The 13439-nt window shown below is 38.7% G+C and overlaps 1 long non-coding RNA gene across 1 annotated transcript in view; it reads left to right on the top strand.

The window, feature by feature from the left end:
• The window catches only part of LOC105374171 (uncharacterized), a 71200-nt gene that overhangs the window by 27415 nt on the left and 30346 nt on the right, over positions 1–13439 (top strand). Inside the window, exon 4 of the long non-coding RNA XR_001740568.2 lies at positions 4716–4887. This is a non-coding gene — a long non-coding RNA (uncharacterized LOC105374171). The remainder of the gene's footprint in view (positions 1–4715; positions 4888–13439) is intronic.

Here is a 13439-nt window from a genome sequence, read left to right as displayed (position 1 = left end):
GAGGTTTTTAAGTCCCTAGATATCATTGTTTTAGGGTTTATCTCTCTCTTTAGATTTAATAATATTTGCTTTATATACCTGAATGCTCTAGTATTGGGTGAATATATTTTTACAATTGTTATATTTTCTCACTGAATTAATTCCTTTATTATCACATAATGTCCTTCTTTGTCTCTTCTTATAGCTTTTAAAATGAAATCTCTTTGTCTGATACAAGTATAGGTTTTCCCGCTCATTTTTGGTGTTTGTCACCGTGGAATATCTTTTTCTATCTCTTCACTTTCATCCTATTTGTGTCTTTAATAACAAGATGAGCTTCTTGTAGGGAGTATGGAGATAGGTCTTGTTTTTGTAACCATTCAGTCAGTCTATGTTGTTTAAATGAGGAATTTAATCCATTTGTATTCAAGATTATTTTTGATAGGTGAGGTCTTATTCCTATCATGTTTATTGTTTGTTTCGGGGTTATTTTGTATATTCTTTGTTCCTTATATCCTTTCTTCTTATTATTATTTTTTTAGATTTGGGTGGTTTTCTGTAGTGATAAAGTTTGATTTATCTTTCTCCTTTGTGTATCAGCTGTACCAGTGAGTATTATAGTTTTGCATGTTTTCATAATAGTGGTTATCATCTTTTTATTTCCAAACATAAGACTCCCTTGTAATGCTGGTGTAGTGGTGATAAGTTTTCTTAGTTTTTGTTTGTCTATGAAAGATTTTATTTATCCTTCATTTCTGAGGGATAATTTGGCTGGGTATATTATTATTGGCTGGCAGGTTTTTTTTTCTTTCAGCATCTTGACTATATCATTTTATTGTCTCTTGGCCTATAAACTGTCTGCTGAGAAATGCGCTTTTTTTTTTTTTTTTTTGAGATGGAGTCTGGCTCTGTCACCCAGGCTGGAGTACAGTGGCATGATCTTGGCTCACTGCAACCTCTGCCTCCTGGGTTCAAGCAATTATCCTGCCTCAGCCTCCCAAGTAGGTGGGATTACAAGCGTCTGCCACCATACCCGGCTAACTTTTGTGTTTTTAGTAGAGGTGGGGTTTCACCATGTTGACCAGGCTGGTCTCGAACTCCTGACCTCGTGATCCACCCACCTTGGATTCCCAAAGTGCTGGGATTACAGGCATGAGCCACTGCACCCAGCAATACACTGTTATTCTAATGAGGATTCCCTTATATACGACTTTACACTTTTCTCTTGCTGCTTTTAAAATTCTATGTTCTTGACTTTTGACAATTCGACTATGATGTCCCTTGAAGAGGACCTGTTTAAGTTGAATCTATTTGGGGTTCTTTGAGCTTCCTGAACCTGGATATCCTTCTCTCTCCATAGACTTGAGACATTTTTTGCTATTATTTCATTAAATATATTTTTCTTACCTTTCCTTGTCTCTTCTCCTTTCTATAATGCTCATAATGTAAATATTTGCTTAATCGTGTCTTGTAAATCCAGCATGCTTTCTTTATTCTGTTTTCTTTTTTCTTTTTTTTTTGTCTGCCTGTATTATTTCAAAATATTTATCTTCTAGTTCATAAATTCTTTCTTCTGGTTGGTCTAATGTGTTGTTACAGTTCTCAATTGTATTTTTTGTTTAACTCAGTAAATTCTTCAGTTCTAGGATTTGTTTGTTTTTTTATAATGATATCTATTTATCACATCTGTTTGTTGAATTTCTCATTCAAATGATGAATTGTTTCCTAATTTTATTGAATTGTCTATGTGCATTTGCTTGTATCTCACTGAGTTTCTTTAAGATTATTATTTTGAATTACTACTCTAGCACTTCCTATATTTCCTTTTGATTGGGGTATATTACTGCAGAATTATTTTCCTTTGGAAGTGACATGTTTCCTTGCTTTTTCATGGTTGATGTGTCCTTACATTGATTTCTATGCATCTGGTAGAAAATTCACCTCTTCCAAATTTATCGAGTAGGCTTCCTAGGGAAAGACTTATTCATATGAATAGGTCTGGTGGTATCAGTGTGTTGTGTGTTTTGATCTTTGTTCTAGTATAGTCTCTGTGTAGTTTCTTCAGTTGTAATCCATGCCGGTGGCATTTGCGAGTTTCTTAGCGTCTTAGGCTGAGAATGTTTGTGGCTTGGTTGTGTGCTTTGCCATGGGTGGGCCCACTGGGCTGTTTCTTATGTTGAGGGTATCTGTATGCACATATGGGTTGGCCAATGTGAGGTTTGACTCTCCAGGGTTGGGGGTCACAGGGCTGTTACTCTGGCCACAAACTAACGCACACAGTTGTTTGGCTAGCCTGGGGTTTGGCCTCTCAGGAGCAGCTTGTGGGGTGGTTTCTCAGGCCTGGAAGGTATGTACACTACTGCTCTGCCACCTGGAAATGTGTTTTCCAGGGTTGACCCACAGGGCTGTTTCTCAGGCCTGGGACATGGGCTAAAGGCTGCTTGGCTGGAGTAGGGGGGTGTGCTAGCCAGTGATAGTCCATGGGGTTATTTCTTAGGCCTGGTATGTGGGTGCAGGGCTGGCTGTGTGTGTGCCTGCTGCAGCTGATCCACGACACTATTTCTCAAGCTTTAAAGCTGCATGGCTGCTCAGCTGGGGGATGTCTGTGGGAGGCGGTCCATGGTGCTGTTGCACAGACCTGGGATGCAGACACAGGGATGCTTGGTTGGTCCCGGGCATGCTTACCAGAAGCAGCTCACAGGGCTCTTTCTCAGGGGCACATAGCTGCTTGACGAGCCTGGGGCCGTCTTCTCTGGATGGACCATGGGCTAGTGCTTAGGTTTGAGATGAAAGTGTAAGGCTGCTTGGCTGGCTCAGGGGTGCGCTCAACAGGGTGGTCCATGGAATTGTTTCTCAGGTCTCTTGGCTGCTTGGCTGATCTGGGAGCATGCCTACCAATCATGGCTTACAAGACTATTTCTCAGGCCCTTATTAGGGTTACAGGGCCACTGGGCAGGCCAAGGACATGTCTGGGGGTATCAGGGATGCTAGGGGGCTCTTAGGTTCTGAGCACAGGTATGTAGCTACTCTGCTGGCCCAGGGGCATATTAGCTGCTTGAAGACTCAGGGGCCTCTCCGACTTCAGGGGAAGGCATGTAGTGGTTTGGCAGGCTTTAGGATAAGTTTGTCCTAGGCAGGACTGCTAGACTGTTCCTTTGACTGGAAGTGAGGGAGGCAGGGATTGGTTATCCTGCTGTGCTGGACCAGAGTCACAGCCAATCCTAGGCCCAGGCTTCACACAGCTAGGATTTTGGCATTCTGTCACATTTGTGGGCTTGGTTTAATGAAGATGGAGCCCCAATGCAGGAGAGCAGTAGCTACTGTGCCCCAGAAGAGGGCACACACTGGTCTTAAGATGGCACCGTGCTACAGCAGGTTGGCTCACCATGGCTGGGTGAGAGGAGTACACACCTTGTGCTTCTAATCTGGGCAATACAACTATGCAAATTCCCAGTATATTTCAAAACTTGGCTCAGGGCTTGTGAGAACTTAAGATTTTCCTGTTGTAAGGATTGTAGGTGTTTACGGTGGCAATGGGGGCTGGTGGGGATCTTCTGCATACCTTCTCCTTGAAACAGGACGTCCCTCCTGACTCTAGGCAAATCTGATCTGGGTGAGAGAGATGGGGCTGCAGAGGCTAGGTGCCTCCACACTGCCCTCCTGGGCTTCCAATCACCACAAATGTGTCTCTACTCTCCTACTACATTCTAATGATCTCCCTTCAACACTCCAGTCAAATCAGCTATGGATTCTTTGCTTTGGTTCATTCTTGTAGGGGGGATGAATGCCAAGCGTCTGTAGCTAGCCATCTTGCCGATGTCACTCCCCCAATTTCTATCACAGGTTTTTTTTTTTTTTTTTTGGCAAGAACTTCTGAAAGCTATGCTGTAAGGCAACATTGTGGGGTGGATTGTTTTTTAAGCTTTTTCAGGTGAGCTTTTGTTTGTTTTTACTGAAATATCACACAAATGTCTAGTAAAAAACAAGTTTCAGTTATAACTATTTTATTTAAAGAGGGAGCAGTGACCTAAGACCGAATTCCTTGGCCTTCTTCTCTCTTACCCTTTGGCACATTTGAGAATACATAGGCCTTTACCAAATGCAACTGAAAGCTCCAAAATTGACATTTGCCAGAGAAACCTGGAATTGAATCTTGCTTTCATTGCTTTCTAGCTAAGTAACATTGGAAAAGTTGTTAGCCCATCTAAGATCTGTTTTCTTTATCAGTTAAATAGTGGTACCAGTGCTTAGCTTGCAAAGTTATTGTGACATTAAATTGAGATAGCAGAGGATAGTAGATTCTCAACAAAGATTATTTCTATTTCTCTCCCTGCTTGAAGCTACATACAACATAATAAACCAAATTTTTTATAAACCTGGTTTAAATTAATTCATTGCCATCATCCTCCACGTATTTGTAGAACATGTGAAGTTTTCTTCTGTTTTTCTTTGTTACCAAAATTAACCCTGATGTAGTTTTTTCTCTTCTCTTATACACTCATCTGGTGAAACAATAGATAATATTTCTCCTTTCTCCTTTATTTATGTTTGTTGAATTTTCATTAATGATAATATCTTACTTTTATAAACAAAAATAATTAATTTAAATAATACCACAGTTTTAAAGCTATACTGTTAGATATTATTTAGCTTATTTACTAATTTAATAAATGGCGTTTAATACATCTTTAACAATTGCCTAATGTGTATTTTGATAATTTTCTTCTTTTTCTTAGTCAATTTGCATTGCAATAAAGGAACACCTGAGGCTGGGTAAATCATAAATAGGTGATGTGGCTCAAGGTTCTCTAGGATGTACAAGAAGCATGGTACCACCATCTGCTTCTGGTGAGGGCCTCAGGCTGCTTCCACTTACGGCAAAAGGTAAAGAGGAGCAAGCATTGCATGGTAAGAGGATAGAAGCAAGAGAGAGAGTGGAGGAGGCATCAGGCTCTTTTTAACAATCAGTTCTCATGGGAATTCACAGAGCGAGAACTTGCTCATTACTATGAGGATGGCACCAAGACATGCATGAAGGATCCGCCCTCATGACCCAAACACCTTCTGTCAGGTCCCACCTCCAACACTGGGGATCAAATTTCAACATGAGATTTTTGAGGGGGCAAACATTCAAACTCCATCATTCTTCATATATGATTTTCTTAGAAAGTTTTTATACATACATTATTTCCATAAGTTTCCAAAGTTACACATTGTTATGTCATGTATACATATGTTTTTGATGTAAAAAAAGGATCAGTGAAAATAGCAAATTATAGCTTAAATTACTTTTCTCTACGCAAAACCAGCCTTTGCGTAATAGGTTGCTATTTGCAAAGGCTGTTGCTTTGTTTTTTTCTGTATACCTTTGACTAAAATGTTGTAAGATGCTTTTTCTTCTTTCATCTTTCTTTCTTTTATCTTGGCCTATTCTTGGAACTTTTGTCATAGTCCTTGACTATTGCAGGTTATTTAATATTGAACTTAACTGTATCTTTGCAGTATTTGTTTGACTCCATATTTATACTCTGCTTTTCTGTAGACTCACCTCCCTAATGTTACTGCTTAAGTGCTAACAAATTTGGAAAATGGATTTGATAAAGGAAGTGAACAGTTCCTAGACTGGCCTTAAAAGAAATCAGACCTATTTATTCATAGACATACCACAGAGTGATTTTCATGGGACTAACTCTTGAAAATTCTATTTTTTAAAAAACAGAAACAGAGTGAAATAATTCACTGTAAAGAAATTTAAAGTTACTTATATTTCTTCATTAATAGATTATTTGAATCTGAATTCATTGTTTACAAAAGCACAATCTTTGATGTGGGGCGCACATATATAAGGAAGATCTTATATGGTGACTTTGTTGGCCATGATTACAATGTAAAAAAAAAAGTCTTTTATTTGTAATGCGTAAGCAGGAGGAATTTAACAGAAAGTCCACCTTCTAAGATGACCAAGGAAAATAGGATGAGAAGGAAAAGGGAAAACTTAGCTTAGAATGAAATTATGTGATTGGAAAGATCTAAAACAGTAATATTAGCAACCAAAATCAAGTTTACATTCCCAACCTATTAGCTAAATCTAGAAAAGAACTTGACATTCTAATATAAGCAGCTGCTTGAAGAGTTTAGACAACTTTCTTTGCATAGATATTTAGATAAAAGCAAATTAATGCATATGTTTTACAGAAAATTATTTTATCTGTGACACAGAATTTAATGGAAGACAAGTATTCTCTAGAAAAATAGACTCAAGGGAAAACAGCTGGAATTCTTACAGCTTATAAATGAAGTGCCTGAAGGTAGCCTTAATATAGTTTGCTAAATGCTTCCAAAGAATTGCCAACAGGTCTCCACATCTTTGAATTAAAACATACCAGGTTTCTTAAGGAAACTCAAAGTAGATCCAAGCTGGCACGGCATTTCCGGGCCCTGTGATCCAATGAATTAAACTTTAGTCATCACTTCCTAAACAAAGCAGAGCGGAGTTTCTTATGTAGGCAAAATTTCCTTACCTCCATTTCAACCGCTGTTTTTGAAAGGCCTTGTGATGAGGCCCAAGGGAGTTTTGATCTGAGAATCACAGGAAATGTTTTTTCCACTTTCCAATAAAATTCCAAGTTTTTGTAACATGACCATTCAGTCTTTCTATAATTGCTTTGATAACTTATGTTGTATAATGAGGTAAATAATTCACAGTGTAGAATGAAAAAGATTGGCCGGGTGCGGTGGCTCACGCCTGTAATCCCAGCACTTTGGGAGGCTGAGGCGGGTGGATCACGAGGTCAGGAGGTCGAGACCATCCTGGCTAACACGGTGAAACCCCATCTCTACTAAAAATACAAAAAAAAATTAGCCGGGCGTGGTAGCGGGCACCTGTAGTCCCAGCTACTAGGGAGGCTGAGGCAGGAGAATGGCCTGAACCCGGGAGGTGGAGCTTGCAGTGAGCCAAGACAGCGCCACTGCAGTCCAGCCTGGGCGAAAGAGTGAGACTCCGTCTCAAAAAAAAAAAAAAAAAAAAAAAGAATGAAAAAGATTATGTGTGTGTGTGCGTGTAAAATTATTTGCAGAGAACCGATACTAGTAATTATAATCCTTTTTCAATCCCTCAGAAATATAGTAGAGATAAGTCACTTAGATGTGCATTTTGGTGCTGCTTAATTAAGGAGCATGTTGTTTACAAAATTATCCTGAAAGAAGAAAAGTATTACGGTTGACTCCTTCCACCTGGCTAAAACACAGATTATTATTTTACTGTCAGATTAGAAACATGTGAAAAAGTCTCTTTCTGTAATTTTAAAGTGTACTGTGTTATTGTTATTCACAGACAAAATTTTCTTTGTTTTCCATCTATGTACACTAATATTTAGTATTTAAACACATAATATTTAAATATTTGAAAAAAAACTCTGGGAATAGGAGACCAATCTGCCAAAAAAAAAAAAAAAATCCCCTTTCAACTTATGGCTTTTACTAGTACCTTAGTATTAGAAATTTCAACCACTTTATGAGTTTTAAACAGTCTATATATGAGATAATTTATTGAATAAGTTGTAGGGTTTCTTTAGATGAGAAAAAATTGCCAATTTTAAGTATGAAACTATAGAATATCATAAATGCTAGAAGGAAAACAGTCTTGTATAAATTTTTGACCCCACATCCCTGTAAGTAACATATTTTGAGCATGTACAATTATATACACTTGACTTATTTATGTACTACATTATAAAACACACACTTAAAATAACATAAGAGTATAAAAATGAAACAGCATTTTCTCATACCTGAAGGAGTATACAGTCATTCCTTGGTGTTTGTGAGGGACTGGTTCTGGAACCCCTGCAGATACCGAAATCCATGAATGCTCAAGTCCCTTATATAAAATGGCATAGCATTTTCAAATAACCCAGGCATACCCTGTACACTTTAGATCATCTCTAGATTACTTAAAATAACTAATACAATGTAAATGCTACATAAAGTTTTAATATTGTATTTTAAAATTTATATTACTTTTTATTGTATTTTTTTCCAAATATTTTTTATCTGAGGTTGGTTGAATTCATGCATAAGAAACCCATGTATACAGAGGGCCAACCATATACTATCGCTACAAATTTGAATATGAAGAAAAATTTCATGTAGCTATTTCTTTCACTCTGTATTTTTTTCAAGGCTCCAGAGAACCTCTTTAAGCCGGGGGCACATGCAGCACAGTTTTGTGGCCTCTTTACCAGAGGACACATGACAGGGGAGAGAGAGGTACTTCCGCATCCCACAGGGTGGCCCTCAAAACTCAGTGTGCATCAGAATCACCTGTATGTTTTAAAAAATACTGATGCCCAGGCTCTAACCTCAGGATTTGGTTTCCAAAAGTCTGGTAAGAGCAGGGTCTAGGCATTTATATTTTTAAAAATCCTCCCAGGAGAAGTTAGTGTACAGGAGGTGTTGAGAATCACTGCTTTAGACACTTGTTGGAGGGCCAAAGAAAATTTCCAGCAGAATGTGGCTATGGTGTTCAGCCATAGTGCCTGGTGGGGCAACACAGTAGCTGCAAGGACACAGTGGAAATAGTGATCTGTCCAGATGGAGATGACTGCATTGCCCCAGGAAGGTGGTCACTGGAATCAGAAGAAGCAACTGCCATGCCCTACAAGATAGTGGTGCTCAGCAGAAGAAGATGTGTCACTAAGATTGAAGGCTGGACTGCTTTAAGAGCTCTGGCAAGTCATCAGAAGAATGTTGCAGGGGCTGAGATCTTGACAGAGCAGGTGGGAACAAAGACTATTGCAACTTAAATTAATGTCATGCCAATGTCATTAAGGCTTCCACAGTTTGAAGATGCTTAGGGAAACTCAGGTTACAGCATTCGTATTGTAACAATAACCACCTTTTACAGAGAGAGCATCACAATTTACAAAGATCTTTTGTATATATTATGTTACTTGATCCACCCTTTATCCCTGGGAGGAAGTAGGATAAACTCTATTAGTTCCATTTTATGAAGGAAAATAATAAAGTTCAGAAATGTTAAGTATTTGCCTGAGGTCATACAATACCAAAGGGCAGAATCAGAATGCCAATCTAGATCTCTCAGCTCTTAACCTTTCTCTTTCTCACCAAATCTTGAGATGGTAGGGTGTTTGGTGATGCATAGAAGAGGATGTCTATGAATTTATGTGGTTATTGGCTTGTTTAGAAATGGGGTAAATCTCTCTCAGGCATGCTTTTAGAATGGTGCAAAAGTAATTGATTATTCAACAACTAAGAGGTTAATACCTGACACAGCAAAGACATTCCTGGCCCTGGTTCAGTGCCGAGGACCAGACTAAGTGCCTGGGCTATAAAATATGTGGTTGTGAAATGATAGAAAGATTACCTTTCCCCATGGCCATTCATTTTCAAATTCAGGTGTTTTGGAAATTAATTGTATTGATAATAATGGGCCATAGAGAATGGATAAGCAAAACATTGATCTATCCATTCAAAGATTCATTTCATCTGTGACCAAGCTATTTCGATTCTGCCTCCTAAATATCTCTCCTTTGTGTCGCCTCCTGCTCCCAACCACTGCTGCCTTTATTTAGATTTTCAGCATCTTTTTCATAGCCTCTTGTTATGTGGTCACTGATTCTTATCTAACCCCTTCCAGTTTGTTCTCACACTGCTCCCAGACTTTTAGCTCTAAATTTGAAATCTGATGATGTCCCTACTCTTTTAGATTTTACCCTTTTAGAATTTTTCAAAGGTTGCCTTTTATTGGTAAGGTTTTACTTAAACACCTGCGCTGGAACACAAGATCATCTCTACTTTGGTTTATGCTTTTCTCTTCAGCTTCATATCTAACTGAACCCAGTTCTCACTGTATCTTACATTCATGTCACAATGAAATATCCAGAGTTCTCCAAATGTACCATACAACTGTGCCATGACTCTTCTTTGCAGACTCACATCACCTTTACTTCCTGATGAATGAGAGTACATTCTCCAGACTTAATTCAAGCCCCACCTTCTCCATTGATTAACATCCTGATTTCCCATGGCCTCACCCAGTTGGCAATGACTCCTTCCTTTATGAACTCATCATACTCCATGAATACTTCCATCACAGCACCTATAAAGCTTCATTCCACCTACTTGTTTATGTAGCCTTCTCTTCCATTTAAACTGTTTATACTCTTTGGGGGTATAAATCATGTCTTAGTTTTATCACCAGCACCCAAAATACTGTATGACGTATGAGGTATTTAATAGTGCTTATCAAACAAATGCCTTAATTCATTAACTCCCATATATGAATTAGGGGCTCTTCCTCAGATATAACCTAGAGCTTCTGAATTTTAAAAAAATTAGGTAAAAGGTCTGACAAAGATTTTTTTAGTTTCTCTTTCAAACCTGGGAAATAATAGATAATGATATATCTATGAATGTCAGTTGGCAGACATTGCTAAGTGTTTTTCAAAGCAGTGGGAGTCCCGAACCCAGTCATATATGCCAACCACAAAACTATAAATAAGTATCTGTGTACTGCAATTAATAGCTTATTTGGAGCCAGATAATTTCTTCAAGCACAGAGTATTTTAAATCAGGAATGAACTAGCACTGAGCGAGTTTTGGCAAGTTTCTCTTACACATGGGTTGAGATTTTAAACATCACTTAGGTGCTTAAACAGTTAGAAACACATTAATGTCAGCCATTATTTTTGGTTACAAGCTGGTGTCATAACTGGCCTAATCCTTTTTCTTTATTCCTTTTCTTAAAATAATCTGATCTATAAGAACAATTGGCAGATGTTATTTGAAAATGGGCTCCACACACCAAAATTCTGTGGAAGTTCCTCCACACAGGTAGAGGAAAAAAAGAAAAAAAAAATTCCTACTTCTTAAATCAGATAGAAAATTCCCATTCTGGGATTAAGAAGAAAAAAGCAAATCTCAACTTATAAGTGCTTTGCCAAACATATAAATCACAAGCGTTTATGGTTTATTTTTGAATACTCTTAATTGCTAAGATGTAAACTCAACATTTCAAAAGTCTCTACATTATTTATCCAGTCTTATAACCTTGAAAGAAACAAACTGTCCTAAAGCATGAACTATTTTTAAGTGAGCTAATATCTGTGGAATCCTTTCCCAAATGGATTTCAGGGTTAAGGGCGTGTCTGATCCACTGTGCAAGAAAGCAAGATGTGCTCATTTCCTTCCACTGTATGCATGAAAATGATGACAACTTATCCTCAAAGTGAAAACTAGGAACTATGTGTCAAGTGATGTATAAGACTATGTAAAATATACATGTATGCAAGAAATGTGTACATCTAAACACTCCAAATGTTTGACTGTATAATATGACTTTTAATGTCAGAATGAGAAGAAGGAAGCATTGAACAAGAATAAAGAAAAATCCTATATTTACTTTTTAAATTAAAAAGCATAACCACATCTTCTATAAATTCTAACAAAATCCTGCACACAATTTTGAGAAACAGTACCATATCTCTTATGGTACTGTGTTACTTGGATGAACTTAGCAGTTGGTGGGGATAAAGAAGTATGAGACTAGAGAACCAAATTTTCATTATTTGTCAACAGACAAATGGGTAGATGCTAGGAGTAAGTAGAGGAGTAAGTAAATTCAGAGGGAATTTTTTTTTTGAAGAAACCGGGGCAAGGTGAGGGTGGCTTTAGTTTATGATATTACCCATGCTCGCTATTATGACTGTGCTTCCTGTACTAATTTCCGTATCTGTTCAAGCTGAATCCACATGCCTGTTGATTGGTACTTTGCTTGGTTTCAGGGACCTCTCTCAAATGTAGCCTAGAGCTTCTGAATAAAAAATATCAAGTTAAGATATTTGATGAAAGTTTTTTTCTACTTGTTTGCCTTGATTTATATAGTGCATCTTACAAAGCCATTGAAATTAAACCACATATCCATAATCTGTTAAGAAAAGGTAAGTAAAAGAAATAAGGTTGGGCCGGGCGCGGTGGCTCACGCCTGTAATCCCAGCACTTTGGGAGGCCGAGGCGGGCGGATCACGAGGTCAGGAGATCGAGACCATCCCGGCTAAAACGGTGAAACCCCGTCTCTACTAAAAATACAAAAAATTAGCTGGGCGTAGTGGCGGGCGCCTGTAGTCCCAGCTACTCGGGAGGCTGAGGCAGGAGAATGGCGTGAACCCGGGAGGCAGAGCTTGCAGTGAGCCGAGATCCCGCCACTGCACTCCAGCCTGGGCGACAGAGCGAGACTCCGTCTCAAAAAAAAAAAAAAAAAAAAAAAAAAAAGAAATAAGGTTATATGAAATTGGGACTATTTTGAAAATTCCAGGAAGTATGCTGGCATATATTTCTCAATTGTTTTCTCAACATTTTGAAAATTATTGTCCAGGCTGTAGATCATGTTGTCAGTGGCTTCTCCCCATCTAATAAAATATGAAGACCCTCTCCACCTTTTGGAGGAAAATGCTGGTATCTTGGAGTTTGATACTACCGTGTAGAAACCAATATACTAACTTGTAAGAGACAAAAGTTTATTTACTCCACGTATTGTTGAAATTTTATCATAAAAACTGATATTCTTTGGGAAAATGATTATAAAAGCCACAAATTTTAACATCTATTCGGTTGTAATTTAAAAATACCTGAATTTTCAGCCATTTGCAGTGGCTCATGCCTGTAACCCCAGCACTTTGGGAGGCCAAGGCAGGCAGACCACTTGAGGTCAGGAGTTCAAGACCAGCCTGTCCAAAATGGTGAACCCCACCTCCCACCCCATCTCTACTAAAAATACAAAATTAGCCAGGTGTGGTGGTGTGTGCCTGTAATTTCAGCTACTTGGGAGGCTGAGGCACAAGAATTGCTTGAAACCAGGAGGCAGAGGTTGCAGTGAGCTGAGATCGTGCCACTGCACGTCAGCTTGGGTGACACAGCGAGACTCTGTCTCAAACAAACAAACAACAACAACAACAACAACAATTTTCAAGGAAAGAATAAGTTTTCTACTATCGATTCCATTAACTCCGACTACACAACTCAGATTGTGTTTTTGAGGTAGCACAGTAAGCTGGGCATTAGTCCTGCATGCTCCTAGGTAAACTCTCTGAGCTTTAATTTTCTCATTTGTGCGATAGGAATCATTCTACGCACCCAGTTTCTCTCAGGGCATTTGAGGGGAAACCCCTGGAGCAATGGACAAAAAAAAACCCCTTTGATACCTGTAGATACTGGTGTTCCAATCTCTACAGATTGGTGTTCCAATACCTTTGCCCGGGTTATGCTTATGCCCCAGCACCTAATCATAAAATGGTGTCTTTGCCCTCTTGCCTCCTGGCTCACAGCTTCTTACACACTTGAGTCAGAAGCGGTTTTTGTCTTCCTCCTTTCATGAGAGCAGGAGCCTCATTCCAGTCTCCAGCTTTGAGAAATGAGTATTTCTGTTGCCTTCTTGCATGGAG

The sequence above is a fragment of the Homo sapiens genome, chromosome 3 (assembly GCF_000001405.40).
Source record: "Homo sapiens chromosome 3, GRCh38.p14 Primary Assembly".
Classification (NCBI taxonomy): Eukaryota; Metazoa; Chordata; class Mammalia; order Primates; family Hominidae; genus Homo; species Homo sapiens.
This window is presented reverse-complemented; position numbering and strand designations above follow the sequence as displayed.